At 53.0% G+C, this 26,950-nt stretch overlaps 2 protein-coding genes, 2 long non-coding RNA genes and 1 pseudogene across 18 annotated transcripts, besides 14 other annotated features; 3 read left to right on the top strand and 2 right to left on the bottom strand.

Moving 5' to 3' along the window:
• Positions 582-1,469: an enhancer, noted in NCBI's record as "H3K27ac-H3K4me1 hESC enhancer chr1:1346572-1347459 (GRCh37/hg19 assembly coordinates)". NCBI's record gives its function as "activates a minimal SCP1, AML or CMV promoter by ChIP-STARR-seq in naive H9 embryonic stem cells {active_cell/tissue: H9 hESC(naive)}" and the evidence as "EXISTENCE:reporter gene assay evidence [ECO:0000049][PMID:30033119]".
• Positions 1,470-2,358: an enhancer, noted in NCBI's record as "OCT4-NANOG-H3K27ac-H3K4me1 hESC enhancer chr1:1345683-1346571 (GRCh37/hg19 assembly coordinates)". NCBI's record gives its function as "activates a minimal SCP1, AML or CMV promoter by ChIP-STARR-seq in naive and primed H9 embryonic stem cells {active_cell/tissue: H9 hESC(naive and primed)}" and the evidence as "EXISTENCE:reporter gene assay evidence [ECO:0000049][PMID:30033119]".
• On the bottom strand, positions 1,977-4,313 carry MRPL20-DT (MRPL20 divergent transcript). The gene has a single exon (NR_170330.2). It is a non-coding gene; the product is annotated as an MRPL20 divergent transcript (long non-coding RNA).
• Positions 2,359-3,246: an enhancer, noted in NCBI's record as "OCT4-NANOG-H3K27ac-H3K4me1 hESC enhancer chr1:1344795-1345682 (GRCh37/hg19 assembly coordinates)". NCBI's record gives its function as "activates a minimal SCP1, AML or CMV promoter by ChIP-STARR-seq in naive H9 embryonic stem cells {active_cell/tissue: H9 hESC(naive)}" and the evidence as "EXISTENCE:reporter gene assay evidence [ECO:0000049][PMID:30033119]".
• Positions 4,170-4,836: an enhancer, noted in NCBI's record as "H3K27ac hESC enhancer chr1:1343205-1343871 (GRCh37/hg19 assembly coordinates)". NCBI's record gives its function as "activates a minimal SCP1, AML or CMV promoter by ChIP-STARR-seq in naive H9 embryonic stem cells {active_cell/tissue: H9 hESC(naive)}" and the evidence as "EXISTENCE:reporter gene assay evidence [ECO:0000049][PMID:30033119]".
• Positions 4,837-5,504: an enhancer, noted in NCBI's record as "H3K27ac hESC enhancer chr1:1342537-1343204 (GRCh37/hg19 assembly coordinates)". NCBI's record gives its function as "activates a minimal SCP1, AML or CMV promoter by ChIP-STARR-seq in naive and primed H9 embryonic stem cells {active_cell/tissue: H9 hESC(naive and primed)}" and the evidence as "EXISTENCE:reporter gene assay evidence [ECO:0000049][PMID:30033119]".
• Positions 4,924-5,113: a silencer, noted in NCBI's record as "silent region_73". NCBI's record gives its function as "represses an Ori minimal core promoter by ATAC-STARR-seq in GM12878 lymphoblastoid cells {active_cell/tissue: GM12878}" and the evidence as "EXISTENCE:reporter gene assay evidence [ECO:0000049][PMID:35858748]".
• Positions 5,294-5,423: an enhancer, noted in NCBI's record as "active region_15". NCBI's record gives its function as "activates an Ori minimal core promoter by ATAC-STARR-seq in GM12878 lymphoblastoid cells {active_cell/tissue: GM12878}" and the evidence as "EXISTENCE:reporter gene assay evidence [ECO:0000049][PMID:35858748]".
• On the top strand, positions 5,368-10,752 carry MRPL20 (mitochondrial ribosomal protein L20). Of its 2 annotated transcripts, none has more exons than NM_017971.4 (4): positions 5,368-5,530; positions 5,642-5,752; positions 6,775-6,852; positions 10,405-10,752. In NM_017971.4, exons 1-4 carry the CDS (start codon positions 5,444-5,446, stop codon positions 10,576-10,578), a joined length of 450 nt encoding a protein of 149 aa, NP_060441.2. In that variant the 5' UTR covers positions 5,368-5,443; the 3' UTR covers positions 10,579-10,752. The 2 variants fall into 2 exon arrangements, with proteins under 2 accessions (NP_060441.2, NP_001305414.1); NM_001318485.2 differs by having other exon boundaries at positions 10,060-10,752.
• Positions 5,505-6,171: an enhancer, noted in NCBI's record as "H3K27ac-H3K4me1 hESC enhancer chr1:1341870-1342536 (GRCh37/hg19 assembly coordinates)". NCBI's record gives its function as "activates a minimal SCP1, AML or CMV promoter by ChIP-STARR-seq in primed H9 embryonic stem cells {active_cell/tissue: H9 hESC(primed)}" and the evidence as "EXISTENCE:reporter gene assay evidence [ECO:0000049][PMID:30033119]".
• Positions 5,594-5,653: a silencer, noted in NCBI's record as "silent region_72". NCBI's record gives its function as "represses an Ori minimal core promoter by ATAC-STARR-seq in GM12878 lymphoblastoid cells {active_cell/tissue: GM12878}" and the evidence as "EXISTENCE:reporter gene assay evidence [ECO:0000049][PMID:35858748]".
• RN7SL657P (RNA, 7SL, cytoplasmic 657, pseudogene) lies at positions 6,909-7,201 on the top strand (annotated as a pseudogene).
• On the bottom strand, positions 10,615-13,131 carry MRPL20-AS1 (MRPL20 antisense RNA 1). The gene is made up of 3 exons (NR_015434.1): positions 12,972-13,131; positions 12,358-12,503; positions 10,615-12,056 (listed from the first exon to the last, which is right to left on the bottom strand). It is a non-coding gene; the product is annotated as an MRPL20 antisense RNA 1 (long non-coding RNA).
• Positions 11,845-12,388: an enhancer, noted in NCBI's record as "H3K27ac-H3K4me1 hESC enhancer chr1:1335653-1336196 (GRCh37/hg19 assembly coordinates)". NCBI's record gives its function as "activates a minimal SCP1, AML or CMV promoter by ChIP-STARR-seq in naive H9 embryonic stem cells {active_cell/tissue: H9 hESC(naive)}" and the evidence as "EXISTENCE:reporter gene assay evidence [ECO:0000049][PMID:30033119]".
• Positions 12,774-12,833: a silencer, noted in NCBI's record as "silent region_71". NCBI's record gives its function as "represses an Ori minimal core promoter by ATAC-STARR-seq in GM12878 lymphoblastoid cells {active_cell/tissue: GM12878}" and the evidence as "EXISTENCE:reporter gene assay evidence [ECO:0000049][PMID:35858748]".
• Positions 13,124-13,363: a silencer, noted in NCBI's record as "silent region_70". NCBI's record gives its function as "represses an Ori minimal core promoter by ATAC-STARR-seq in GM12878 lymphoblastoid cells {active_cell/tissue: GM12878}" and the evidence as "EXISTENCE:reporter gene assay evidence [ECO:0000049][PMID:35858748]".
• Positions 13,326-26,950, top strand: CCNL2 (cyclin L2). Of its 14 annotated transcripts, none has more exons than NR_146722.2 (14): positions 13,326-13,642; positions 13,990-14,064; positions 14,319-14,428; positions 17,147-17,267; positions 19,201-19,265; positions 19,858-19,982; positions 21,086-21,364; positions 21,796-21,895; positions 22,098-22,202; positions 22,290-22,431; positions 23,918-24,035; positions 24,596-24,707; positions 24,792-24,884; positions 25,079-26,950. NR_146722.2 is itself a non-coding variant. In NM_001350500.2 (13 exons), the coding sequence occupies exons 7-13, from the start codon at positions 21,099-21,101 to the stop codon at positions 25,428-25,430; spliced, it is 1,170 nt and encodes a 389-aa protein (NP_001337429.1). In that variant the 5' UTR covers positions 13,326-13,642; positions 13,990-14,064; positions 14,319-14,428; positions 17,147-17,267; positions 19,201-19,265; positions 19,858-19,871; positions 21,086-21,098; the 3' UTR covers positions 25,431-26,950. The 14 variants fall into 14 exon arrangements, 11 of the variants coding, with proteins under 11 accessions (NP_001337429.1, NP_001337428.1, NP_001307084.1 ...); NR_146723.2 differs by adding an exon at positions 24,151-24,169 and having other exon boundaries at positions 21,086-21,895; NR_135154.2 differs by adding an exon at positions 23,614-23,711 and having other exon boundaries at positions 19,858-21,895.
• Positions 13,434-13,613: a silencer, noted in NCBI's record as "silent region_69". NCBI's record gives its function as "represses an Ori minimal core promoter by ATAC-STARR-seq in GM12878 lymphoblastoid cells {active_cell/tissue: GM12878}" and the evidence as "EXISTENCE:reporter gene assay evidence [ECO:0000049][PMID:35858748]".
• Positions 19,199-19,699: an enhancer, noted in NCBI's record as "H3K4me1 hESC enhancer chr1:1328342-1328842 (GRCh37/hg19 assembly coordinates)". NCBI's record gives its function as "activates a minimal SCP1, AML or CMV promoter by ChIP-STARR-seq in naive H9 embryonic stem cells {active_cell/tissue: H9 hESC(naive)}" and the evidence as "EXISTENCE:reporter gene assay evidence [ECO:0000049][PMID:30033119]".

The following is a 26,950-nucleotide window of genomic DNA, read 5'->3' as shown; positions in this document are numbered from 1 at the left end:
AACAAGGAGGTAAAACCAAGGACAGGCAGCCCGGCGCTAGGCCCGAAACCAGGCCTGCGCCTGCCTGGCCTAAACTCAGTAGTGAAAAATCAACTCATAACTTAGAAACAGATGTTATTCATAGATTCCAGACATTGTATAGAAGAACATTTGTGAAACTCCCTGCCGTGTTGTTTCTCTCTGACTGCCAGTGCATGCAGCCTGTCACGTACCGCCTGCTTGCTCAAATCAATCACGACCCTTTCATGTGAAATGTTTAGTGTTGTGAGCCCTTAAAAGGGACAGAAATCGTGCACTCGGGGAGCTCAGATTTTAAGGCAGTAGTTTGCTGATGCTCCCAGCTGAATAAAGCCCTTCCTTCTACAACTCGGTGTCTTGAGAGATTTTGTCTGCGGCTCATCCTGCTACAGCAACTGATGTGACTTAAACCTGATGATGGATGGAGGCACAGACCTGGGACAGACGGACCTGGGACCTGGACGGACCTGGGACAGACGGACCTGGGACCTGGACAGACCTGGGACCTCGACGGACCTGGGACCTGGGACCTAGACGGACCTGGGACCTGGGACCTAGACGGACCTGGGACCTAGACGGACCTGGGACCTGGGACCTAGATGGACCTGGGACCTAGATGGACCTGGGACCTAGATGGACCTGGGACCTGGGACCTAGATGGACCTGGGACCTAGATGGACCTGGGACCTGGGACCTAGACAGACCTGGGACCTCGACGGACCTGGGACCGGGACCTAGACGGACCTGGGACAGATGGACCTGGGAACCTGGACGGACCTGGGACCTGGGACCTGGACGGCACCTCTGTCTTCCCTTCCTTCCCTCTGTGTGCACACCGCCGGGGCGCTCTTTTCAGTTGCTCTCTGTAGGCCGCGGTGTTCCAACTGTGTTTTCTTAGATTTGTATATGTCACTTTGACAACCATGAATTACATGGCCAAACTTATGGCCACGGCTGTTCTCCTCCCCACTTCCATCCAGAGCCGGTACCCTGACCCACCTCCTCATCTAACACCTGCACAAGCTGATACATCCCCTGCCCTGAGTCGCCCAGGGCCAGGAACAGGTGACCAGGACAGCCCCCATGCACCAAGGCCAGATGGCATTTTTCTTTTCTTATCCTTTTTTTTTGAGGCAGAGTCTCACTCTGTCCCCCAGGCTGGAGTGCAGTGGCGCCATCTCGGCTCACTGCAAGCTCCACCTCCTGGGTTCACATCATTCTCCTGCCTCAGCCTCCGAAGTAGCTGGGACTACAGGCGCCCGCCACCCCGCCCAGCTAATTTTTTGTATTTTTAGTAGAGACAGGGTTTCACCGTGTTATCCAAGATGGTCTCAATCTCCTGATTTCATAATCTGCCCACCTTGGCCTCCCAAAGTGCTGGGATTACAGGCATGAGCCACTGAGCCCGGCCTTTCTTTTCTTTTTTAAATGGAGTTTCGCTCTCATTGCCCAGGCTGGAGTGCAATGGCGCAATCTCGGATCACTGGCAACCTCTGCCTCCTGGGTTCAAGCAATTCTCCTGCCTCAGCCTTCGGAGTAGCTGGGATTACAGGCGCCTGCCACCACACCTAGTTAATTTTTTGTTTTTTAGTAGAGATGGGGTTTCACCATGTTGGCCAGGGTGGTCTTGAACTCCTAACCTCAGGTGATCCGCCTGCCTTGGCCTCCCAAAGTGCTGGGATTACAGGCGTGAGCCACTGCGCCCGGCCAAGATGGCATTTTTCAAGCTGGCCCATTCTGAGCTGCTCACCCCGCCCTCCCTGCCTTTCCCACAGAATCCCCAGCCAAGGCTCTGGCCTTAGCTTTCTCCCCTCTCTCTGCCTCCTGACAAAACACCGGGGCTTCTCATGTCGCCCTGCATAGTGTGAGTGTAGGGGTGGGTTGCCCCTCCACACCTGTGGGTGTTTCTCGTAAGGTGGAACGAGAGACTTAGGAAAGAAAAAGACACAGAGACAAAGTATAGAGAAAGAAATAAGGGGACCCGGGGAACCAGCGTTCAGCACATGGAGGATCCCGCCAGCCTCTGCGTTCCCTTAGTATTTATTGATCATTTGTGGGTGTTTCTCAAAGAGGGGGATGTGTCACGGTCACAAGACAATTGTGGGGAGAGGGTCAGCAGACAAACACGTGAACAAAGGTCTTTGCATCATAGACAATGTAAAGGATTAAGTGCTGTGCTTTAGATATGCATACACATAAACATCTCAATGCTTTACAAAGCAGTATTGCTGCCCGCGGGTCCCACCTCCAGCCCTAAGGCGGTTTTTCCCCATCTCAGTAGATGGAACATACAATCGGGTTTTATACTGAGACATTCCATTGCCCAGGGACAGGCAGGAGACAGATGCCTTCCTCTTGTCTCAACTGCAAGAGGCATTCCTTCCTCTTATACTAATCCTCCTCAGCACAGACCCTTTACGGGTGTCGGGCTGGGGGACGGTCAGGTCTTTCCCTTCCCACGAGGCCATATTTCAGACTATCACATGGGGAGAAACCTTGGACAATACCTGGCTTTCCTAGGCAGAGGACCCTGCGGCCTTCCGCAGTTTCTGTGTCCCTGGGTACTTGAGATTAGGGAGTGGTGATGACTCTTAAGGAGCGTGCTGCCTTCAAGCATCTGTTTAACAAAGCACATCTTGCACCGCCCTTAATCCATTTAACCCTGAGTGGACGTAGCACATGTTTCAGAGAGCACGGGGTTGGGGGTAAGGTCACAGATCAACAGGATCCCAAGGCAGAAGAATTTTTCTTAGTACAGAACAAAATGGAGTCTCCTATGTCTACTTCTTTCTACACAGACACAGTAACAATCTGATCTCTCTTGCTTTTCCCCACAGTGAGTGTCCCCATCGCTCAGGAAATGCGAGTAATAAAAATCTCCAATAACAACAGCTTCTCCATGTCTCCAGTCAGTCATGTCCATAAACTGAAAATCCTGCAGGTAGGCCAGTTGTGTCTGTAATCCCAGCACTTTGGGAGGCCAGTTTTGAGACCAGCCTGGGCAACATGGTGAAACTCCATTTCTACCAAAAATACAAAAATTGGCCAGGCATGCACTTGTGGTTCAGCTACTCAGGAGGTCGAGGTGGGAAGATCACTCAAGCCCAGGAGGCAGAGGCTGCAATGAGCTGAGATGGCGCCACTGCACTCCAGACTGGGTGAGAGTGAGACCCCATCTGAAAAAAAAAAAGTAGTTTTTCTTCTTCTTGTTTTTTGAGACAAGGTCTTGATCTGTCACCCACGCTAGAGTGCAGTGGTGCGATCTTGGCTCACTGCAGCCTTGGCCTCCCGGGTTCAAGCAATTCTCCCACCTCAGCTGGGATTACTGGGGCCCGCTACCACGCCCGGCTACTTTTTGCATTTTTAGTAGAGATGGGGTTCCACCATGTTGGCCAGGCTGGTCTCGGATTTCTGACCTCAGGTGATCCACCTGCCTCGGCCTCCCAAAGTGTTGTGCAGAGCCACTGCACCCGGCCTCCTCTTTTTTTTTAAGATGGAGTTTTGCTAGTTTCCGAGGCTGGAGTGCAATGAATGGCGGGATCTCGGCTCACCGCAAACTCTGCCTCCCGGGTTCAAGCGATTCTCCTGCCTCAGCCTCCTGAGTAGCTGACCATGTTGGTCAGCCTGGTCATTTAAGGTCGGGAGTTCGAGACCAGCCTGGCCAACATTGTGAAATCCCGTCTCTACTAAAAATACAAAAATTAGCTGGGAGTGGCGGTGTGCGCCTGTAATCCCAGATACTCGGGAGGCTGAGGCAGGAGAATCACTTGAACCGGGTAGGCAGAGGTTGCGGTCAGCCGAGATCGCACCTTTGTACTCCAGACTGGGCGACGGAGCAAAACTCCGTCTCAAAAACAGAAAAAAACAAAACAAAACAAGAAACACAACAACAAATGCAGTGCGTCATCCTAGACTGAATCCTCAACAGGGAAAAAAAGGTATAAAAGACATTTGAAGCGAGTTAAATCTGGAGTGTGGGCTGGGTCCGGATTTTGACCATTCTACGGTGTGGTTCCTAAGAGTAAATACACAGCAAAGTGTTTAGGTGTCTCCAGCGTCTCAAATGGTTTAGGAAAAAAATCCATTATGTTTATATTTACAGAGAGAATGATTCAAAAATGGAGCAAAACGTAAATAGTAGGTGAATTTGGTTCGAGAGTATTAAACAAATGGAACAAATGAAAACAGCTGGCACATTTTGGTAGTGAACACTGGGGAGTTTTCCTTGTACTTGTATTCCAACTCTTCTATGATTTAAAAAATATCCAAGTATAATAAACTGTTATAAAGAAACTGCACACCCCCAATTTTTCGATAATATAGCAGAAATATAAAATTACACATAATATAAAACTTCTTATTTTTTTGGGACAGACTCTGGCTCCGCTGCCCAGGCTGTTGTGCGGTGGTGCAATCTGAGCTCACTGCAGCCTCCACCTCCAGAGCTCAGGCGAGCCTCCCGTCTCAGCCTCCTGAGTAGCTGGGACCTCAGGCGCGCGCCACCACCGCTCCCGGCTAATTTCTTTTTGATTTTTTGTAGAGATGGGGTCTCACTATGTTGCCCAGGCTGGTATTGAACTCCTGGACTCAAGTGTTCCTCCCCCCTCGGCCTCCGAAAGTGCTGGGATTACAGGCATCAGCACCACAGCGATCACATTTACCATTTCGAAGCTGAGAATTTCCAGGCATGGCGCGGTGGCTCAGGCCTGTAATCCCAGCAGAAGCCAGCAGTCCGAGAACAGCCTGGCCAACGCGGGAAGACGCCCCCTCTACAAAAAACACAAAAAATTAGCCGGGCGTGGCGGCGCGCGCCTGACGTCCCAGCTACTAGGAAGGCAGAGGCCGCGGCGAGCCGAGGTCGGGCCGCTGCACCCCAGCCAGGGCGACCGGGCGAGACCCCGTCTCAAAATGAGTAAGTAAACAAAGTGCAAGGTTCAGAGGCAACGGGCACTTTCACACCGATGCGACCATCTCCACCTCGGTTCCTGAACATCCTCGTGGCCCCAGGGGGCGGCCTGCCCCTCCCCGCCCGCGCCGCACCCGAGCTCCCCGGCCGCGGGGCCCCCGACCCGGGTCCGCTGCCCTCACGGTGCCCTCGGAGCCACAGCTGCGGCCGGGGCCGTGCTCCGGGACGGTCCGCGTGCGCTGCTGTTTATCCATCGTCCGCGAATAGCCACGGGCGCTGCGGCCCCGTTCTCCTTTCAGTCCCCGCCGCGGCCCCACATCCGCTCCCCAACACGCACCACCACCGCGAGTTCAGGAGCACAACTGGGCACCCGCGGGCTGACGGGAGACGACCTTCGCCCCGGAAGTATCGCAGGGGCTGACCCGGAAGCGCTCGTGACCACCATTTCCGACCCGGGCAAGATGGCAGCGGCGCTGCGCGTGCGTTGTTGAGTGTTCGGGACGCCGGCCTGCAGGCGCCATGGTCTTCCTCACCGCGCAGCTCTGGCTGCGGAATCGCGTCACCGACCGCTACTTTCGGATCCAGGAGGTGCTGAAGCACGCCAGGGTGAGTGCCGCCTGCCCGGCCTGGGCACTGGGCGCCCGGGGTATCCCGCGGGCCAAGGGGCGGCCGGCGCGGGCCCCGCTGACAACCCTGGTTTCTCGTTTTCTGTCCCAGCACTTCCGGGGAAGGAAAAATCGCTGCTACAGGTTGGCGGTCAGAACCGTGATTCGAGCCTTTGTGAAATGCACCAAAGCCCGATACCTGAAGAAAAAGAACATGAGGACCGTAAGCGTGGACCCGGGACACCCGCCGGCCAGCGCACTCGCGGCCCCTGCGTTTCTGCGCCGCGACCCAGCTAGTGTGCAGCCGCCCGGCCACCCTCAGCCCCTTCCTTTCATACCTTGCTTCGAAACTCCGACAAATTATGTCGCCCCGCAGGCAAACTGTGGGACATCCGTTCTCCCGCCCCGCCGCCACCCCCACTGTCACCCCCTGCTCCAGCCCCTCGCCCGGGCCACTGCAGAGCCGCCTTGACACTCTCCCTGCGTCGCCAGCCACCGCCCTAGTCGCTGCTGCTCTCATCCCTCCGGTGGCTTCCCTTCCCTTTGGCAGCTGAAGTCAACCCAGCCCCTTGCCAACCCTCCAGGGCTACTATCTGCTGCCGTGGTGCTCCTCGAAGAGACCACGCCTGCTGCCAAGCTCTGCCCACCCGGAACCCCCCGCATTTCTGGGAGGCTGGCGCCTCCACTCTGTCCACGTGCCGCCTCATTACTGCGCCTCACCACTCCCGTCTCAGCCTCATGAACCTAGCATCTAACGTACCCCGGTTTTTTTTTCTTACCCCGAGACGGAGTCTCGCGCTGTCACCCAGGCTGGAGTGCAATGGCGCGATCTAGGCTTAATGCAACCTCGTCTCCCGGGTTCAAGCGATTTTCCCGCCCCAGTCTCCCGAGTAACTGTGACTGCAGGTGTGCGCCACCAAGCTATTTTTTGTATTTTTAGTAGAGACCGGGTTCCGCCATGTTGGTCAGGCTGGTCTCGAACTCCAGATCTGAAATGATCTGCCTGCCTTGCCCTCCCAAAGTGCTGGGATTACAGGCGTGAGACACCGTGCCCAGCTGGGTTTTTGCTGTTTTTAATTTTGAAACAGGGTCTTGATTTCGCTTAGGCCAGAGTGATGGCACCATCATAGCTCACTGATTTTGCTATTTACTTTTAGAAAAATATTCTTTAGATCAATTAGAGGCTTTGCTGGGACATAACATCCAGAAGTCATTTTTAAGTATCTTCATGTTTTCTTATTTCAGCTCTGGATTAATCGAATTACAGCTGCTAGCCAGGAACATGGACTGAAGTATCCAGCGCTCATTGGGAATTTAGTTAAGGTATGGGTGAGTATGTGGGTCCCACTGAAATTCTGGACATCTGCAGAAACCATCATGCGGGGCGTGGTGGTGCTTCCTGTAGTCCCAGCTAATCAGGAGGCTGAGGCCAGAGGATCCCTGGAGACTGACTTCTGGGCTGTAGTTTGCTATGCTGATGGGGTGTCCATGTTAAGTGTGGTATCAATATGGTGACCTCTTGGGAGCAAGGGACCACCACGTTGCCTAAGGAGGGGTGAACCAGCCCAGGCTGGAAACGGAGCAGGTCACAATTCCCATGTTGATGAGTGATGAGATTGTGCCTAGGAATAGTGCCAGCAACAGCCTGGGCAACATAGTGAGACCACTCTCTACAAAAAAATAAAATTTGCTGGGTGTGGTGGTACAGAGACATGTAATGTCAGCTACTGAGGAGTCTGAAGCAGGGGGATCACTTTGAGCCCCCAGGAGTTTGAAGCTGCAGTGAGCTATGATGGTACCACTGCACTCTAGCCTAGGTGAGAGCAGGACCCCGTCTGACAGAATAAAGAAAGCCATGGCTGGGCAGGGTGGCTCAGGCCTGTGATCCCAGCACTTTGGGAGGCTGAGGTGGGCAGGAGATGGAGACTAGCCTGGCCAACGTGGTGAAACCCTGTCTCTACTAAAAATACAAAAATTAGCCAGGTGTGGTGGCGGGCACCTAGAATTCCAGCTACTCTGGAGGCTGAGGCAGGAGAATTGCTTGAATTTGGGAGGCGGAGGCTGCAGTGAGCCGAGATCATGCCACTGCACTCCAGCCTGGGCAACAGAGCAAGACTCCATCTCTAAAAGTAAATAAATCAAACCCTCCCATCAGACCTGGCGCAGCCTGTTAGCAGTCCATGTGGCAGAGGCGAGGAGTGCCACTCCAGCTGCACCGTAGCTGCACTCTGTCTTGGTGTGGGGTTCTGGCAGGTCTGGGAGCTTACCGCACTGGTTGGCAGCAGAGCAGAATTGGAAACAGGGCACGTCTTTCTGGGATGTAAGTCCTGATGTTTCCCCATTAAGAAAAAAGGCCAGGCATCCCAACACTTTGGAAGGCTGAGGCGGACAGATCATGAGGTCAGGATATTGAGACCATCCTGGCTAACAGGTGAAACCCGGTCTCTACTAAAAATACGAAAAATTAGCTGGGCATGGTGGCCGGCACCTGTAGTCCCAGCTACTCAGGAGGCTGAGGCTGGAGAATCGCTTGAACTTGGGAGGCAGAGGCTGCAGTGAGCCGAGTTCACGCCACTGCACTGCAGCCTGGGCAACAGAGTGAGACTCTGTCTCAAAAAAAAAAAAAAGTGTAGAAAAACTTGACTTTAACTTCAAAGTTTAATTTGAAAGTTTAAACAGGCCAGGCGCGGTGGCTCACACCTGTAATCCCAGCACTTTGGGAGGCTGAGGCAGGTGGATCACAAGGTCAGGAGATCGAGACCATCCTGGCTAACATGGTGAAACCCCGACTCTACTAAAAATACAAAAAAATTAGCCAGGCGTGGTGGCGGGCATCTGTAGTCCCAGCTACTCGGGAGGCTGAGGCAGGAGAATGGCGTGAACCCGGGAGACGGAGATTGCAGTGAGCTGAGATCGCGCCACTGCACTCCAGGCTGGTCGACAGAGCGAGACTCCATCTCAAAAAAAAAAAAAAGTTAAAACAATGAGGCTGGGTGCGGTGGCTTACACTTGTAATCCCAGTATGTTGAGAGGCAGAGGCAGAGGCGGGCTGATCACCTGACATCAGGAGTTCGACAGCAGCCTGGGCAATGTGGTAAAACTCTGTCTCTATTCAAAATACAAAATGAGCCAGGCGTGGTGCTGGCATGCGCCTGTATGCTACTCGGGAGGCTGAGGCAGGAGATTGGCTTGAATCCAGAAGGCAGAAGTTGCAGTGGGCTGAGATCACACCAGTGTACTCCAGCGTGGGCGACAGTGTGTGACTGTGTCTCAACAACAACAAAAAGTTTTAATAATGAGTGATTTCTGATGACATAGCAGGTGAAATAGGAACTTACAGAAAGGAAGGGGAATGTTTTGGAGCGAACGGATGGTTTATGCAAGTGTAGCAAAATCTTGGTGATTACTGAATCTGGTCATTATGCTAGTCCCTCTGCTTGTGTACATTAAGTTTTTCCTAAAAGGTTGAGGGGGTGGGTATTTTGCAGAAGGCACTCTTTGGTGCTTTACAAAGATCTTCAGGGTAGGCTTAGGAGGTTTGACTTTCCCATTTTACTCAGGGAACTGTAGTTAAGAAAGGAGACATACTTGGCCGGGCACGGTGGCTCACGCCTGTAATCCCAGCACTTTGTGAGGCTGAGGCGGGTGGATCACGAGGTCAGGAGATCGAGACCATCCTGGCTAACATGGTGAAACACCATCTCTACTAAAAATACAAAAAGTAGCCAGGTGCGGTGGCGGGCACCTGTAGTCCCAGCTACTTGTGAGGCTGAGGCAGGAGAATGGCATGAACCTGGGAGGTGGAGCTTGCAATGAGCTGAGATCGCACCACTGCACTCCAGCTTGGGCGACACAGTGAGACTCTGTTTCAAAAAAAAGAAAGAAAGAAAGGAGACAGACTTTGCACAAAGCATACAGGTCACAGGTAGTACAGTTAGGTCACAGGTAGTAGGCCACTTTGTCCTCGGTAGCCGAATTTTGTGTTTTTGTTCCTTTTTTTTTTTGGATACAATCTCACTCTGTTGCTCAGGCTGGAGTGAAGTGGCGCGATCTTGGCTCACTGAAAGCTCCAATTCCCGGGTTCACACCATTCTCCTGCCTCAGCCTCCTGAGTAGCTGAGACTACAGGTGACTACCACCATGCCCAGCTCATTTTTTTGTATTTTTGGTAGAGACAGGGTTTCACCGTGTTAGCCAGGATGGTCTTGATCTCCTGACCTGGTGATCCGCCTGCCTCAGCCTCCCAAAGTGCTCAGATTACAGGCATGAGCCACCGCGCCTGGCCTTGTGGTTTTTTTTCTTGTATTTTTTAGTACAGACAGGGTTTCTCCATGTTGGTCAGACTAGTCTCGAACTTCCGACCTCAGGTGACCTGCCTGCCTTGGCCTCCCAAAGTGCTGGGATTACAGGCGAGACACCGTGCCCTGCCTTGGTAGCTGAATTTAATGCTCAAAGAGACGGCCCCCCTTTTCTACTCCTTAAACTCTGGCATTGTTCACTAGCTTCTGAAATCCTCTGTGGTTCTTGCAGGCACTTCCAGGTTGGCTTAAAGGGTTACCCTAGGCCAGCAGTCAGCTCAGTCAGGGTGGTGACCAAGGACCCTGAACAAGGTGTTTGGTTCCCCGGGCCGACATCAGGACTGGAGTCCAGCCTCCCTGCAGATTCCACAGGTGCTTCCCTCACCCGTGTCCACATTTATCCTTCAGCATCCTGCCTGGAAGTCCTCTGCTGTGCCACCCAGATAGGATTCTCCTAGGCCTTCCCTCCCCCCAGGCGAGTGTGCAGCTGGGTTCTTCCTGAGCCAGCGCCGCAACCACGCGGAGCCGGAGTGTGTGTCTCACACTGACAGCAGGTTCTGATTCATTCTTTTTTCAGTGCCAGGTGGAGCTCAACAGGAAAGTCCTAGCGGATCTGGCCATCTACGAGCCAAAGACTTTCAAATCTTTGGCTGCCTTGGCCAGTAGGAGGCGACACGAAGGATTTGCTGCTGCCTTGGGGGATGGGAAGGAACCTGAAGGCATTTTTTCCAGAGTGGTGCAGTACCACTGAGGACTGTTGCTGTATTGATTAGGAAAAGAGACAGAGTAATTTGCAGTTTGTTTGATTTATACTTTTGTTTATCTACAACCCAATAACAGACATGAGGGATGGCCCTGTCTCTCTGGGACAGAGCCTCACAGATGATGTCCATGTTTTGTGTGAATGAAACTCAAACACTCTTCAGTTTTTAGAGTCATTTTCTGGTATCGAGCGACCACACCGAGGAGCACACCCTGCTTCCAAGGCTGCTGCCTTCTGCACACAGTGGGGGATCCCCACCCACCCTGGCTCCCCTCAAGGGCTGCGTGCACAGTGCCCGCTTTCCAGTTACCTGACCCACCCTGAGTCCCTATTCCATTTTGCTCGGGGCTGACCTCAGACATGCCCTGTGGCTCAGCTCTGCCACTACTCAGAACACCAGCCTCAGCTTCCCTATGTCCCCCAGATTCAGCAGCCCAGCAGGGATTGGGGGAAATGCTCCCACATCAGGTGGGTGGTGGCCTGGTCCCTGCAGACTGGACTGGCTTTTCAGCCATCTCCAGGAAGCAACACCTAGCAGACAACTGTCCCTTAACCCCAAGGGTGATGCACACTTCTCCCCTGGTCTTTCTGCCCCCCGATGCCCCTACATTTACACAGCAGTGCGCAGACCCTTGCCGCAACCTGCTTGTCTTGCTGACCCTGCTGTAGGAGCGCCTAAACTGAGTGCCCGTCTCCCCTCCAAAGGCAGCTGGCTTGAATCCTGTGGGAACGTGCCCTTCACCCTTTGCCAGCAGTTGCTGGGGAGTCTTTCCGGCCCCTTTCTCAGACTCACCACCTACCTCCAACCTGCGCAGAACAATCAGCGTCCTGACCACTTGCTAGAGATGGCTTCAGGCCGACCACTCCATCCTCACTGCAGGCCTTCATTCCTTCTGGCTTCCATCACTGCATGGCCCCCTAAGAGGTCCCCCTCCTGGCCCTTGTCACTGTGCCTCATGACAGCCACTACGCCCTAAGCCTTTGGAGGCCAGGGACAAAGTCTCGTTCACTGTCCTTTCCGCTGCATGAGTGCAGTGTCTGGCCAGGTGCACGGGGCACTCAGTGCCTGTCAGCCCTTGGTAAACAGTCCTGGACAACAGGGTCAAGGACAGAGCCCTGGGCGGCCACATTCGGTGCGTGCTCCTGTGTTGTGGCAAAGCTGCCTTTTCTGCGTTTCATGTCAGTGAAGGAAGACAGGGATGTGGCAGAGCCCTGCGGGTTGCTCCCATCACTCACTCGGTTTGTGCCATAGTCCTCCTGTTCCCAGGCGGTCCCAGGGCCTGCCCCTGATGGGCTGGAGGCACCACCAACCTCCCACTCCTCTGGCAGTCACAGCTCAGGGAATGGGCAAGCAGCACCAATGAGAAACCAGCTGTGTGGTGGGGTTTCCAGAGAAGAGGAAATTCCTTCTTTCCTGGAGAGCGTGCAGCTGTAACTCACAGACGAGACATCCCTGAGCTACCAGCCTGGGGAAAGAGGACATGAGTAAAGCTGTAACCATACCGTGTTACCCATAACAGGCGGTGAGGAGAGTGGGTTTTGGTTGGCACTGTTTGAGCTGCAGTATCAAGTCATGGCAGAGCTAGTGGACAGCTGACCTGGGGGTGGGGGTGAGGAGCAATGGTGGCTTCTGAATTTGAGCCCGTCTGAGCTGGGCAGTTACTGGCAGCTCAGTGTGTGAACCTGCAACCACTCAGGCCTCTGCTGCCCTTCCCTCTTCCTGCCTCACCGTTCCCTGCCCCACGCAGGCTTCCCCACCATCCTCACCCGTGGTCCTGTACTAGTCCTGGCAAAGGTTCCGGTAACTGCAGCAACAGATACCTCCTGCCCCTCCTGCACAGCTGTGGTCGATCGCAGGACAGCCGCAGGTGATGAAAAACCGTGAACCCAGGACGGGCAGGGCGTGAGACCGCCTGCGGGAGGATCAGCGATGTCAAGACGTTACAAACGCACGAACCCCCTCGCCGTCTCCCTGGCGTTTGTGAGGTCCTGTCCAAGCTCCTTCACACGTAGATCACCGGGCCTCGCTCCCCCGACTCCTTCCGTGGGCCTGAACCTTGAGGTACTTAGGCCTCCCCACGCTGGAGGGGCTCTGTAGGGACGTCGAGGCCACGTTTCCAGTCATCCCTCCACCCGTCTCTCCCCAGGGGCTGAGTGTTGAAGGCAAGACTTTGCAGGAGTCTGGCGTTAATACGCATCCCCAAAGTCTGGAGTCGATAAGGACTGAAGACACGACGCCGACGGCGGCCGGGGGACACCGGGCATGCGCGTCTCATCCAGGGGGAGGCCGAGCGGAGCCTCTGACCCTGCCCCGCGCCCAGGGTTCAGCAGTGGGGGTCGTCCCGCCCCAGATCCCACCGAGATGGCCCCCCTTGACCCACAGGCCTTTCGAGACGCGAGCTTCCGCGATCCGGGGTCTCTGTGCGAACGTGGGCATCTTGGAAGAGTCCCAGCCCCGCTCGGGGCGCACAGGCAGGCGCTCTCAGCACGGCACCCGCGCCTCCGCTAGGGACAGACATGCTTCCGGGTCGGCCGGCACCGCGGAGTCCCCTGGGTAACGAGCCCGCCCCACCCGCGCCAGGTTCCGGCGTCGGCGTTAGGCGCGTTGCTGACGGGCAGGTTATGTAGCCAATTGCGGCTAGGCGGCGTCGCGCTGGTCGCGGGCCGAACCAATGGCACGCGACGGGGCGGGGCGGTGGCGGCCGTGGAGCTTCGCGAGGAGCCGCCCTGAGGGAAGAAGCCGAAGGGGAGTCGGCGGCACAAAATGGCGGCGGCGGCGGCGGCGGCTGGTGCTGCAGGGTCGGCAGCTCCCGCGGCAGCGGCCGGCGCCCCGGGATCTGGGGGCGCACCCTCAGGGTCGCAGGGGGTGCTGATCGGGGACAGGCTGTACTCCGGGGTGCTCATCACCTTGGAGAACTGCCTCCTGCCTGACGACAAGCTCCGTTTCACGCCGTCCATGTCGAGCGGCCTCGACACCGACACAGAGACCGACCTCCGCGTGGTGGGCTGCGAGCTCATCCAGGCGGCCGGTATCCTGCTCCGCCTGCCGCAGGTGAGGGCGCGGCCGCGAGCCTCCGGCCCAGGTAACCGCTGGGGCGGCAGCCGCCTTTGTTGGCGGCGAGTCGGGCCCGCACCGCCCCCGCCTAGACCCCGACCCCAGCCCCTGCCCCGACCCCAGCCTCGGCGCCATTCCCTAGCCAGCCCATGCCCCTGACCCGGGGCCTCCCCGCCCGCCAGTGCGCTGGATCCCGAGACGGCGGGACGCGAAGAGCCTTTGTGGACGTGGGAAGCGTTTCAGTGTTTGGTTCTGCGTGGGGAGTCCCACGTTACTCGATGACTTTCGGCCGCGAAGGCTTTGAATGGTGCGTTTGAAAATACGGAAACTTTCTTCTACTCTAGGTGGCCATGGCTACCGGGCAGGTGTTGTTCCAGCGGTTCTTTTATACCAAGTCCTTCGTGAAGCACTCCATGGAGGTAAGGCTTCCTCCTGCACTTCATTCCCAGCGAAGTATGTTGAGGGTAAAACGGTTTGTTACTTTGCCCGGTTACTAAGGGAGTGAGTACTTGCCCCCCAGTCTGAGCTCTGTGCCGGAGGGTTCTGTTTCTTGACTTTTTTTTTCCCCTGGGTGCACCTCCCTTTTGGTCTGAATAGCCCTCAAGCCTTTGGCGGCCGTCAGGACGCCGTGGCTGGGGACAAACATGGGCGTGTTGCAATGCTTCCGCTTCAGCATGTGTCAATGGCCTGTGTCCACCTGGCTTCCAAGATAGAAGAGGCCCCAAGACGCATACGGGACGTCATCAATGTGTTTCACCGCCTTCGACAGCTGAGAGACAAAAAGTGAGTCAGTCAGAGCTGTCTAGTCTATCATAGATGCCTATTTTCTTTATTTCTGATTAAGTTACAGTAAGGCTTGTATAACACAATACAGGCCTGAGGCTCTAAACCTGTGGGATATTCATGAGCGCAGTCTCAAGCTCCACCAACAGAGCCTGCTCAGAGGCATCAGTAGATGCGGTTTAGTAAGGGCAGGGGCTCCAGTGAGGACAGTGCGCTGTGGCGGGTCGCGCTGGGGCTGGCTTCCTGCTTTACCCATGTCAGTGCACGGCCCTGCTGCTGCTTCTGTCCCACAAGTTTCTGAGTGCTCTGGAGCAGGGAATCTTAATCTCAGCACTATTGACATTCAGGCTGGATAATCTTTTTTTTCCTCCTGAGACAGGTTTCCTGTTGTCCAGGGCAGAGTGCGGTGGTATGATCATGGCTCACTACAGCCTCAACCTCCTAGGCTCAAGAGTTTCTCCTGCCTCAGCCTCCTGAGTAGCTGGGACTATAGGAGCACGCCAACCATGCCAGCTAATTTTTATTTTTTATTTGGTAAAGATGGGGTCATGCTGTGTTGCCCAGGCTGGTCTCAAATTCCTGGGCTCCAAGGATTTGCTGGCCTTAGCCTCCCAAAGCACTGGGATTACAGATTTCAGCCACCGCATCTGGCTGGGTAATCTTTAGTTGTAGGGGATTCTCCTGTGTGCTGCAGGATTCAGCAACATCCCTGGTCTCGACTCACTGGATGACAGGAGTACCCCACCTTAGATGTGACAGCCAGAAATTCTCTCATACCAGATGTGGGAGCTCACACCTGTCATCTCAGCACTTGGGAGACTGAAAAAGGAGGTTTGCTTGAGGCCAGGAGATTGAGGCTGCAGTGAGCTGTGATGTCACCACTGCACTCCAGCCTGGACAACAGGGTGAGGCCCTGTTTCCAAAAAAAACGAAAGTCTGTTGATGTTGCTTCATGGCCCTGGAATAGTAAAATTTCTCCAGCAGAGAACCGCTGCCTCTGACCTTAGCCCAGGGTTTATGCACCTGAAGTTAATTGAAGTCCTTTAGAAAACACAGCCTCTGGCCGGGCTGGCCTGTAATCCCAGCACGTTGGGAGGCCTAGGCAGGTGGATCACCTAAGGTCAGGAGTTCGAGACCAGCCTAACCAATATGGTGAAACCCTGTCCCTATTAAGAACACAAAAATTGGCCAGGTGCAGTGGCTCACGCCTGTAATCCCAGCACTTTGGGAGGCCGAGGCGGGTGGATCACGAGGTCAGGAGATCGAGACCATCCTGGCTAACACGGTGAAACCCCGTCTACTAAAAATACAAAAAAGTTAGCCAGGCGTGGTGGCGGGTGCCTGTGGTCCCAGCTACTTGGGAGGCTGAGGCAGGAGAATGGCGTGAACCCGGGAGGTGGAGCTTGCAGTGAGCTGAGATCGGGCCACTGCACTCCAGCCTGGGCGACAGAGCAAGACTCCGTCTCAAAAAAAAATAAAAAAAAAATTAGCCGGGTGTGGTTGCGGGTGCCTGTAATCCCAGCTATTCGGGAGGGTGAGGCAGGAGAATCGCTGGAACCGGGGAGTTAGAGGTGCAGTGAGCTGAGATTGTGCCATTGCACTCCAGCCTGGGCAACAAAAGTGAAACTCTGTCTCAAAAAAAAAAAAAAAAAAAAAAAAAACAGCCTTGCCGAGCGCAGTGGCTCACGCCTATAGTCCCAGCACTTTGGGAGGCCAAGGCGGGTGGATCATCTGAGGTCGGGAGTTCGAGACCAGCCTGACCAACATGTAGAAACCCCATCTCTACTACAAATATAAAATTAGCTGGTCGTGGTGGTGCATGCCTGTAATACCAGCTACTTGGGAGGCTGAGGCAGGAGAATTGCTTGAACCTGGGAGGTGGAGGTTATAGTGAGCCAAGAGCGCGCCACTGCACTCCAGCCTGGGCAACAGAGTGAGACTCCATCTCAAAAAAAGAAAAAACATGGCCTCATCGGCCTCCCAAAGTGCTGGGGTTACAGGTGTGAGCCACTGCACCCAGCCCTTTTTTTTTTTTTTTTTTTCTGAGACGGACTCTCACTGTGTCTCACCGTGTCACCCAGGCTGGAGTGCAGTGATGCGATCTCGGCTCACTGAAACCTCCGCCTCCTGGGTTCAAGTGAATCTCCTGCCTCAGCCTCCTGAGTAGCTGGGATTACAAGCACCCGCCACCACGCCCGGCTAATTTTTGCATTTTTTTAGTAGAGACAGGGTTTCACCATGTTGGTCAGACTGGTCTTGAACTCCTGAGCTCAGGCAGTCTGCCTGCCTCGCCTCCCAAAGTGCTGGGATTACAGGCAGAGCCACTGCACCTGGCCCATCTGTATTTAAATAATTGTGCTTTCATTGGTTCTGTGGTTATTGAACTGTGAATATGTACCTTCCTATCGTGAGTCACATAAAGTGCTTTAGCATTTGTGCCACGAGATCCTAAAACTTGCTATGTTCGGTCTATGCTTGTGCACCAGAAGCTGTTGATCTATAAGGAAAAGCAGGGAGGGATCGTTGGGAAGGGATGAGGAGGTTGGCACTGGGCTGTGGGGAGCGGTGTGCAGTTTTGTTCATCAGAGGATGTGGACTTCATAGCGATGTTGTGTTGTGGGGTTTGTGTTAGGTGCTCATAGTTGGAGGTAACGACGGGATCTCAGAAGCCTTGCTCTGCTTGACTGTGGTGCAGACCCTGTGCTCTCTCTCTGGCAGGAAGCCCGTGCCTCTACTACTGGATCAAGATTATGTTAATTTAAAGAACCAAATTATAAAGGCGGAAAGACGAGTTCTCAAAGAGTTGGGTTTCTGCGTCCATGTGAAGCATCCTCATAAGGTGGGTGTGCGGCTCCTGCCCTGCGAGCCCGCCTAGGCCGCTGCTCCTGCCTGGCCGCCTCTCTCCACCTCAGTGCAGTTGAAGGCTCTGAAGAGGACTGAGTGCATCCCTGACTTGGCTTTCCAGTTTCTATTTATAATCTCAAGAATAGTTCCTGACGTATTCGTCTTCTAGTGTCAGCTGTTTATTTTAGTAACACATTTTTAAGTGTTTTGGAAATGGTATTATTTAAGTTTGGGCTTTCAAAAATAGTGGTGAGTTTATAAATGTTGAATTTTAGTTTATGTTTTCCTTTCTCTACAGTTAATTTTTTTTTGTTTTCTTTTTTTTTGAGATGGAGTTTCGCTCTATCGCCAGGCTGGAGTGCAGTGGCATGGTGGCAGTGGCAGTGGAGGCACAACCTCCACCTCCCGGCTTCAAGCCATTCTCCTGCCTCAGCCTCCTGAGTAGCTGGCACTACAGGCACGTGCCACCACGCCGAGCTGATTTTTGTATTTTTAGTAGAGACGGGGTTTCACCATGTTGGCCAGAATGGTCTTCATCTCTTGCCCTCGTGATCCTCCCACCTTGGCCTCCCAAAGTGCTGGGATTACAGGCATAAGCCACTGTGCCTGGCCTTTTTTTTTTTTTTTTTTTTTTTTCTTGAGACGGAGTCTTACTCTGTCATGCAGGCTGGAGTGCAGTGGTGCAATCTTGGCTCACTGCAACCTCTGCCTCCCAGGTTCAAGTGATTCTTGTGCCTCAGCCTCCCAAGTAGCTGGGATTACAGGCATGCGCCACCACACCTGGGTAATTTTTGTATCTTTAGTAGAGATGGGGTTTCGTCATGTTGGCCGGGCTGGTCTCAAACTCCTGATCTCAGGTGATGCACCTGCCTCGGCCTCCCAAAGTTCTGGGATTACAAGTGTGAGCCACTGCACCCAGCCTCAACAGTTAATTTTCTACATTTGCTTTAGTGATAGCTTTACTTTCTCTTATGGAGAAATTAGGGGAATTCTGGCCCCTTTAGTCTGAAATGACTGGCGAGTTTTGCGGCATGTACTGACTGAGGACCATGGCCGTGACACGGTCCCTCACTCCCAGCGTTGTGGGTGCCTTCTGTGTCACATGGAAACAAAGCACTTGTTTTCCCAAAAAATTGTTTCCATCTTTGGTTCCATCTCCTTTTTATTGGTGGGTTTCCTCATCTGCTTGTTCGGCTTTCTGCCATCTGTTCAAATTATCCACAAATTGCCCACCACAGATTGAAGTGCTTTTTTTTTTTTTTTGGAGACGGAATCTCGCTCTGTTGTCCAGGCTGGAGTGCAATGGCGCAACCTCAGCTCATGCAGCCTCCGCCTCCTGGTTTCAAGCGATTCTCCTGCCTCAGCCTCCTGAGTACCTGGGATTACAGGCGTGCACCACCATGCCTGACTAATTTTGTATTTTTAGTAGAGACTGGGTTTCTCCATATTGGTCAGGCTGTTCTCGAACTCCTGACCTCAGGTGATCTGCCCGCCTCAGCCTCCCAAAGTGCTGGGATTATAGGCATGAGCCAGTGTGCCTGGCCTGAAGTGTTCTTCTCTGTTTGCTGAAAGTATGTTCATATTGTGTTTTGGTGAGTTGTTAACTGGGATACAGAGACGTGTAGGACAGGCCAACCTCACTGGTGGAAAGGCATTGAAGACTAGAATGAAACCAGCCCCATGAAGAACGAGGCCTGTGCCGTGGGTTGTGTGGCTGGGCTCACGGGCATGCGTCCTGCCTGGCTGCCAAGGCAGACAGCAGGTGCAATCGCAAAGCTCCCTCCAGCTGAGCCGTCCGCCAGACGTGTGGCCAGGAGCCACTCCTGGGATCTAGCTTGAGGCTCTTGTTTGCTGCATGGACACCCACAAGATCTGAATTCTGGGCTCTTAAGGTTCTTGGTAATAACTGCCTGACCCGTATCTTCCAGATAATCGTTATGTACCTTCAGGTGTTAGAGTGTGAGCGTAACCAACACCTGGTCCAGACCTCATGGTGAGTTGAGCTTCCTTGTTTTATGAGACCAGCAAGGGCAGTGCAGGAATGTGTTGACTTGAGGCACTTGGGCAGTGGGTAGGCAGCCCAGTGACTTGGTTGTGGGCTGGAGTTGTCCGAGTGCCCAGTGCTCCTGCTGTATAAATTCCAATCAGACTCCCAAAATGGGCACTGGCAGTCACGGTAGGTGGCCCGTCCCCTCCCTGCAAGCCTGGACTTCCTGTGTCCCCCACCCTGAAGAGAGCAGTCAGTGGGCTTCCTCTGGGAGCTGTTGACTTGGCGCAGGGGGACCTTTTCCTGGGGAGGGTGGAGGGACAGGCTAGTGCAGACTTGGTCTGTTTCTCCACTGACATTGCATCCCATGGGAGAGGGGCAGAGAAGGTTCTGGGGCCGATTTTAGCAATGCATGTGCTAGAAAGGAACCCTAAAGTGCAATGTAGTATTTGGGGGATTCTGGGGATTCTGGTGAATTTTTTCCCATGGAGTTAAGTCTGTAAGGGTCATATTTTTGCTGACTGAATTGTCTGGTGCTATGACATGTTTAATAGAGAACCTATTTTGACTTTTCTTTTCTGTACTCTTTCAATCAAAGGGTAGCCTCTGAGGGTAAGTGACTAAGACTTCTCCTCTGCTGTCCAAGCGCTTTGGTGCAGGGACAGCGGCATCTTCAGCCAATCCAGTGCAGGCTCTCCACCGAAGGCTGGCTCTAGACTGGTGGTACGCACATAGCATAGCCATGGCCGACTCCTGCTGTGGTTCTCTGACGATTGTGCTTCTTGTTAATCCTCTGTCGTGCTTTGGTAATCGTATTGATTAGAGTTGGTAACTGTCTTGACTTGAATTTTGTCCCTTTAAAACTGCTGTACCTGTATGATAAAGATGCAGTACCTTTCTCTTAAAAAAAAATGCTATGGAAAGCTGTGAGAATTGAAGAGACAAATTGGCTGTGTCAGTGTGGGGTTATGTCATGATTTCTAGAAGCCCTGAAGTTGCTCTTTTGAGCAGCTTTGCATGACACGCTCTGGTAAAAGGTGTGCATCTTTAAATTATTTCATGGATACTTTGAAAAATATTGTATCACTTCAAATACAGCAATAAGTTTATATGTTCTCAAGATTTCATTTGTTTTTAAGAATTTTAAGTTCGTGGATTAATATCACTACTTGAATACTGACAGTTGTTGATTAGACACCGAAAGGTTACTGATTGTTGAATGTATCTGTGTTAGAGCTGTGCACTGGCACGCTTGCATCAGGGGCTGGGGCCACACGGCCGCCACACAGATTCCCCCGTGATGCCTGGAGCTGCTTCCAGAGCCGGGTGTCTCCAAGAGGCACCTGTAGGACTTCCCATTTAGAAATCTCTTGAGTGGGTTTGTATGTTACCTTCTCCAAGGTTTATTTAGGACAGAGATATTGCTGGAAGGTCATGGGTCAGATTCCCTCACAACCCACCTCGTCTGCGGGTGCAGCCCCACTCCAAGGCTCCCCGTTATTGGGGTATGTGAGGAGCAGTAAATATAAAACCAGTTCAACTGTCCTCATGGAATCACCCTTTCTGTTTTTGCAGTATTCATAAAGCTAGTGTAAGGTCTGGTTTTAGTCTATTAAATCTTAGAGATCTAAAGGAAATGCTCAAAATGTAGCCAGGTTTTAAATGCTTTAACTTTTAAAAAATGTAAATTTTTGTATGTTTATAGCTTCTAAATATGAAAGTTAAAGAATGTACTGTGATGAAATGTTCAGTATTATGTTGCTTCTCAGTATCATGTTGCTTCTCAGTATTGTGTTGCTTCTGATTCTATGAATGTTCATTTTAAGACCCCTTGTTGAAATGGGACAGTTGGCAGCGGCTCTGATGAGCCCGAGAAGAGGCCTGCCCTTGGGTGCGGAGTCTCCCTCCGCACGATGCTCCCACGCGTCCAACTTGCACCCAAGGGGCTTTTCCCTCTTCCAAGTGGACTCCTTCAAGGAAGCTGCAGCTCGGTCAGCAGAGAAGGGGCCTGCCGCCAGCGCCCTGGAGGAAGAGGAAGAGGAACCCAAGAGGATGGCTTGTCTCCCAGCAGCCACACCGGCTTTGTGCTCAGCCAGTTCATTTGAGTTTGCATGTTTCTCTGCACTATGGATTTTGAGCATTTAGATTTCTTTAATCAAAAGCGTTTTAGTGACTCCAGTAGACATTTTCTTTCTGAGGCATCGTGCTTTGCATGAGAGCAGGCCAAGGTTGAGGGGAAAAGTAAAGTTAAAGTCGGTTCTCTTTCATAGCAACACGTATTGTCTGACATTCAGCCAGCTTTTTTTTTTTCTAATAATTTCTGTGCCTTTCTGTCCTGTATTTACTGTATTTAGAAAAAGCAGCTAGAATATTTCTCCATTAACTCTTGAGATTCACAGGACTGTCTAGCTCTGAGTCCTAGCAATAGACTCCTTAGAGGAGTAGTACGTTTATCTAGATTTTCTCTAGATAATGCAGGCGGAAGACCTGGGTTCCCGGGTGGGGCATTGCAGTTCTTCCTGTGTTTGGCTTCCAGGAATTACATGAACGACAGCCTTCGCACCGACGTCTTCGTGCGGTTCCAGCCAGAGAGCATCGCCTGTGCCTGCATTTATCTTGCTGCCCGGACGCTGGAGGTCAGTGTGTTGCTACTATGGAGAGATTCTAGTCTGATTTTTTTTTCTCCAGCCTCCAGTAAACTTTACTGTGTTATTCTTCAAATTACTCTAATCTGGGCCAAAGCATTTTCGTGACCAACAGGCTGTTTTTTAATTGTCCTGAGTCTTGCTGGCCGTGAAGTTGAGGAAAGTGTAATGATGATAGTGTTTGTTTTTACAGATCCCTTTGCCCAATCGTCCCCATTGGTTTCTTTTGTTTGGAGCAACTGAAGAAGAAATTCAGGAAATCTGCTTAAAGATCTTGCAGCTTTATGCTCGGAAAAAGGTTCTTCGGCATTTTTTCATGTAACGTATGCGTTTGTGTTTGGCCAGAAACACCTGGTTCTGAACGGACACCTTCTGGCTTTTGCAGGTTGATCTCACACACCTGGAGGGTGAAGTGGAAAAAAGAAAGCACGCTATCGAAGAGGCAAAGGCCCAAGCCCGGGGCCTGTTGCCTGGGGGCACACAGGTGCTGGATGGTACCTCGGGGTTCTCTCCTGCCCCCAAGCTGGGTGAGTCTGTTAGAGTGCAGGAATCCACTCCCCACAAAGGCAAAGACTGGTGACTCTCCCCCGCCTCCATTCTGGGGTATGTGCTCCTTCCAGACATTTTTTTTTTTTTTTTTTTTGAGACAGGGTCTCTGTCACCCAGGCTGGAGTATGGTGGTGTGATCGCAGCTCACTGCAGCTTCCAACTCCTGGATTCAAGTGATCCTCCCACCTCAGCTTTCTGCATAGCTAGGACTACAGGCACATGCCACCATGCTTGGCTAATTCTTTTTGTTTGAGACAGAGTCTTGCTCCAGCCCAGGCTGGAGTGCAGTGGCGCAATTTCCTCTCACTGCAAGCTCCGCCTCCTGAGTTCACACCATTCTCCTGCCTCAGCCTCCTGAGTAGCTGGGACTGCAGGTGGCCGCCACCACGCCTGGCTAATTTTTTGAATTTTTAGTAGAGACGGGGTTTCACCAGGTTAGCCAGGATGGTCTCGATCTCCTGACCTCGTGATCTGCCCACCTCAGCCTCCCAAAGTGCTGGGATTACAGGCGTGAGCCACCGTGCCCAGCTGTGCTTAGCTAATTCTTTATCTTTTTAGTTGAGTCTGGGTCTTGCTATGTTGGCCGGGCTGCTCTTGAATTTCCTGGCCTCAAGTGATTGTCCTGCCTCAGCGTCCCAGAGTGCTAGGAGCATAGGCACCTGGCCTTTCTGTTGATTAGCAGGGAGTATGACAGGTTGTCTGAAATGCTTTTGTTTATCCTGCTGCCCAGGTAGCTTGTCATCTGATGAAGGTGTTATAGTGTGGGGCCATAGATGATACACGTCATCAGACCTAGAGTTCAGTGTGATGCAAAGGGCCTGTCTGCAGTTCTTTTTTTTGAGATGGAGTCTCGCTCTGTCGTCCAGGCTGGAGTGCAGTGGTGCGATCTCAGCTCATTGCAAGCTCCACCTCCCGGGTTCATGCCATTCTCCTGCCTCAGCCTCCTGAGTAGCTGGGACTACAGGTGGCCGCCACCACGCCTGGCTAATTTTTTGTATTTTTAGTAGATATGGTGTTTCACCGTGTTAGCCAGGATGGTCTCAATCTGGCTTCGTGATCCACCCGCCTCGGCCTCCCAAAGTGCTGGGATTACAGGCATGAGCCACTGCACCCGGCCTGCATTTCTTTTTTTGAGACAGAGTTTCTGTCTTGTTACCCAGGCTGGAGTGCAATGGCGCTGTCTCAGCTCACTGTAACCTCTGCCTCCCGGGTTCAAGCGATTCTCCTGCCTCAGCCTCCCAAGTAGCTGGGATTGCAGGTACCCGCCACCACACTGAGCTAATTTTGTATTTTTAGTAGAGATGGGGTTTCTCCATTTTGGTCAGACTGGTCTTGAACTCCTGATCTCAGTTGATCTGCCCGCCTTGGCCTCCCAAAGTGCTGGGATTACAGGTGGGAGCCACTATACCCAGCTTTTTTTTTTTTTTTTTTTTTTCTGAGACGGAGTCTTACTCTGTTGCCCAGCCTGGAGTGCAGTGGCGCTATCTGGGATCACTGCAAGCTCCGCCTACCAGATTCTGGTGATTCTTGTGCCTCAGCCTCCCAAGTAGCTGGGATTGCAGGCGCCCACCACCACGCTCAGGTAATTTGTGTGTGAGTGTGTGTCTATGTATATATATATATAGAGAGAGAGAGAGAGAGACACACACTCACATGTTTTGGGGTTTTTTTGTTTTGTTTTGTTTTTCTTGAGACAGAGTCTCGCTGTGTTGCCAGGTGAGTACTGTGGCGTGATCTCGGCTCACTGTAACCTCCGCCTCCTGGGTCCAAGCGATTCTTCTGCTTCAGCCTCTGGAGTAGCTGGGACTACAGGCGCGTGCCACCAAGCCCAGCTAATTTTTGTAGTTTTAGTAGAGATGGGGTTTCACCATGTTGGGCAGGATGGTCTCAATGTATTGACTTTGTGATCCGCCCTCCTCGGCCTCCCGAAGTGCTGGGCTCACAGGCGTGAGCCCCCGCGTCCAGCCCCATCTGCATTTCTGTGATGTCTGTGTAAGTTCTGGGTCCCAGCTGGGAGCCGGAAGTTACAGTCTGCTTGCGTCGCTGTTTGACCTGTAGAGGGGCCTTATCTCGCTCTACGAACTTGTTTCTTATTGGGAGAGTGTTTTGTGGTTGGCTTTTAACCTCTTGTTCTGATTCTAGTGGAATCCCCCAAAGAAGGTAAAGGGAGCAAGCCTTCCCCACTGTCTGTGAAGAACACCAAGAGGAGGCTGGAGGGCGCCAAGAAAGCCAAGGCGGACAGCCCCGTGAACGGGTAGGACCCCAGGGCTGCCCAGGTGGCTGTCAGGGTTGGCTGGAGGGACTTCTGCTTTGTAACTGGCTCCTGTCCTGTTCACAGCTTGCCAAAGGGGCGAGAGAGTCGGAGTCGGAGCCGGAGCCGTGAGCAGAGCTACTCGAGGTCCCCATCCCGATCAGCGTCTCCTAAGAGGAGGTGTGTGCCTCAGGGCGCACCCAGGAGGCCGATACCGGGGTGGGGCTGTCCCTCGGGGTAATCATTCTCACCCTGAGGTGGTTTCTTGTTTCTCTAAACCTGGAGCTTGTGTGTCTTGTCTGAGCTCCTGTGGGTGTGTGGGGCCTGGCCGGGCCAGATGGTCACACGTGTGGTGGTGCTGTTCTTCCTCCCAGGAAAAGTGACAGCGGCTCCACATCTGGTGGGTCCAAGTCGCAGAGCCGCTCCCGGAGCAGGAGTGACTCCCCACCGAGACAGGCCCCCCGCAGCGCTCCCTACAAAGGCTCTGAGATTCGGGGCTCCCGGAAGTCCAAGGACTGCAAGTACCCCCAGAAGCCACACAAGTCTCGGAGCCGGAGTTCTTCCCGTTCTCGAAGCAGGTCACGGGAGCGGGCGGATAATCCGGGAAAATACAAGAAGAAAAGTCATTACTACAGAGATCAGCGACGAGAGCGCTCGAGGTCGTATGAACGCACAGGCCGTCGCTATGAGCGGGACCACCCTGGGCACAGCAGGCATCGGAGGTGAGGCGGGGTTGCAGTGACTGGTGGCCGCAAGCCCTTCCCTGGGGAGTACCTGATGGCTGCCCTTTGACCCCCGGTGGCTGCCCTTTGACCCCCGGGTGTGCTCTCAGCGCAAGTGGTCCTAGAACAGGATTCTTTTTGGAAATGTCTGTCGACTGGACCTTGGTGGATTTGGAAATGGAACTGAGGGACCGGTGACACGTGCTTCAGACCGGTCTGGGGTGCGGCGCACACCTGGGCCCGTGCAGGGCTCAGCTCGGCAGCAGCTCTGAGGGCAGCTCAATGAAAAAGTGAATGCACACGCCCTTGTTGGCGTGGCCTGGCATGGCCTGGTGCTATCGGCAGCCGCTCTCCACTCCCCGACTGATACTCAATTACGTGAAGCCAAGAAAGATGATTTTTAGAACCTTTGCCTATATTAGGTTGTACTTATGTACATATTTTGCAGTGTTTCACAGGAGAAAGTGGCCTTAACTGCCCCTTATTCTCTCTCCACGTTGTAAATAAACATGTGTTTAATACAAGTTAAAGCTATGTATGAAAACTCAGAACTTGAATCCCGTCAGCTTAAAACTTGTGTAGGGAATCCTGACTTTTAAAATGTGAGGGTATTTGGATCTGTGTTGAAAGTCGTATATTTTTATCTGTGCGGTGCTGAGTGCAGGCCACCAGCTCCTAAATAGAGGTTCCCTATATGCGCGTATGACATGGTGAATAAACACAACTCTCTCCACTCAGGACATCCGGAGCGTTATGGACGTGGTAGGTGGTCGTTCTGTGTGCTTGTGAAAGTGTCCAGGCGTGTGCACAGCCAGTGCGCCCACTTCCGGGCTCCTTGCTCCCTGCTGTACTGAAGTTTTGGATTTTGCATCCAATCCTGTGTGCCTGCCCTTCTGCCGAAGGCTTGTGAGGGGCCTGAGTCCTCTGCCCATCAGGATGACAGGCTCCTTCCTGCAGGGCCATAGGAGGGAAGTTTTGGAAACACAGAATGATTCCAAGGTGCTCTCGTTCCTGAGGGGGACTGGTTTGTAACCCATGACATCTGTGGGCGAGAGAGGCAGCTGGGAGCAGGACACTTGGAGGGTCACCCCACGGGGGTGGCACCTGCACTCTGAGTGCCCCCCACTGTCATCAGCTGCCTCTTACCGTGGACACAGTTTTGGTTTTGGGGACTAGGGGGCCCCACTCCTGGTGGTACCGTTTGGACTTACTAGGGCAGTGGGACATATAGGCCGGGGCTAGTGGGATAACGGGGAGTTACGCCTGATGACTTTTTTGATGGAATCCTGCATTAGATAGCTGGTGGGACCCCCCCTCAGAATTGGGGAACTGAGGAGACTCCAGGGAGGGTGTCCTTCCAGGGAGAGCAGCTATGAGGGGCCCCCTAGCTTCCTGTGCCTGGAAGTAAGAGAACCAGTAAAGGGCCATACACACCTGTACCCAAGAGACCGCTCTCCATTTGCTTTCTTTTTTTACTAAATAATTGTAAAATATTATTATGACATAAAGAACCATTTAAGGCCA

This window comes from Homo sapiens, chromosome 1 (genome assembly GCF_000001405.40).
Source record: "Homo sapiens chromosome 1, GRCh38.p14 Primary Assembly".
Taxonomy (NCBI): domain Eukaryota; kingdom Metazoa; phylum Chordata; class Mammalia; order Primates; family Hominidae; genus Homo; species Homo sapiens.
Note: the sequence above shows the minus strand (reverse complement) of the source record. Positions and strands in the feature narration are given on the sequence as shown.

Excerpts from the sequence above, each read along its gene's own strand:
- MRPL20 (NM_017971.4), top strand. The coding sequence starts at position 5,444 with ATGGTCTTCCTCACCGCGCAGCTCTGGCTGCGGAATCGCGTCACCGAC. Across the intron at positions 5,531-5,641 it reads AGGTGCTGAAGCACGCCAGG|CACTTCCGGGGAAGGAAAAA; the intron begins GTGAGTGCCGCC and ends TTTCTGTCCCAG. Across the intron at positions 6,853-10,404 it reads TCATTGGGAATTTAGTTAAG|TGCCAGGTGGAGCTCAACAG; the intron begins GTATGGGTGAGT and ends TTCTTTTTTCAG.
- CCNL2 (XM_011542216.4), top strand. The coding sequence starts at position 13,355 with ATGGCGGCGGCGGCGGCGGCGGCTGGTGCTGCAGGGTCGGCAGCTCCC. Across the intron at positions 14,065-14,242 it reads TCGTGAAGCACTCCATGGAG|CCCTCAAGCCTTTGGCGGCC; the intron begins GTAAGGCTTCCT and ends TGGTCTGAATAG. Across the intron at positions 22,203-22,289 it reads AGCTTTATGCTCGGAAAAAG|GTTGATCTCACACACCTGGA; the intron begins GTTCTTCGGCAT and ends TGGCTTTTGCAG.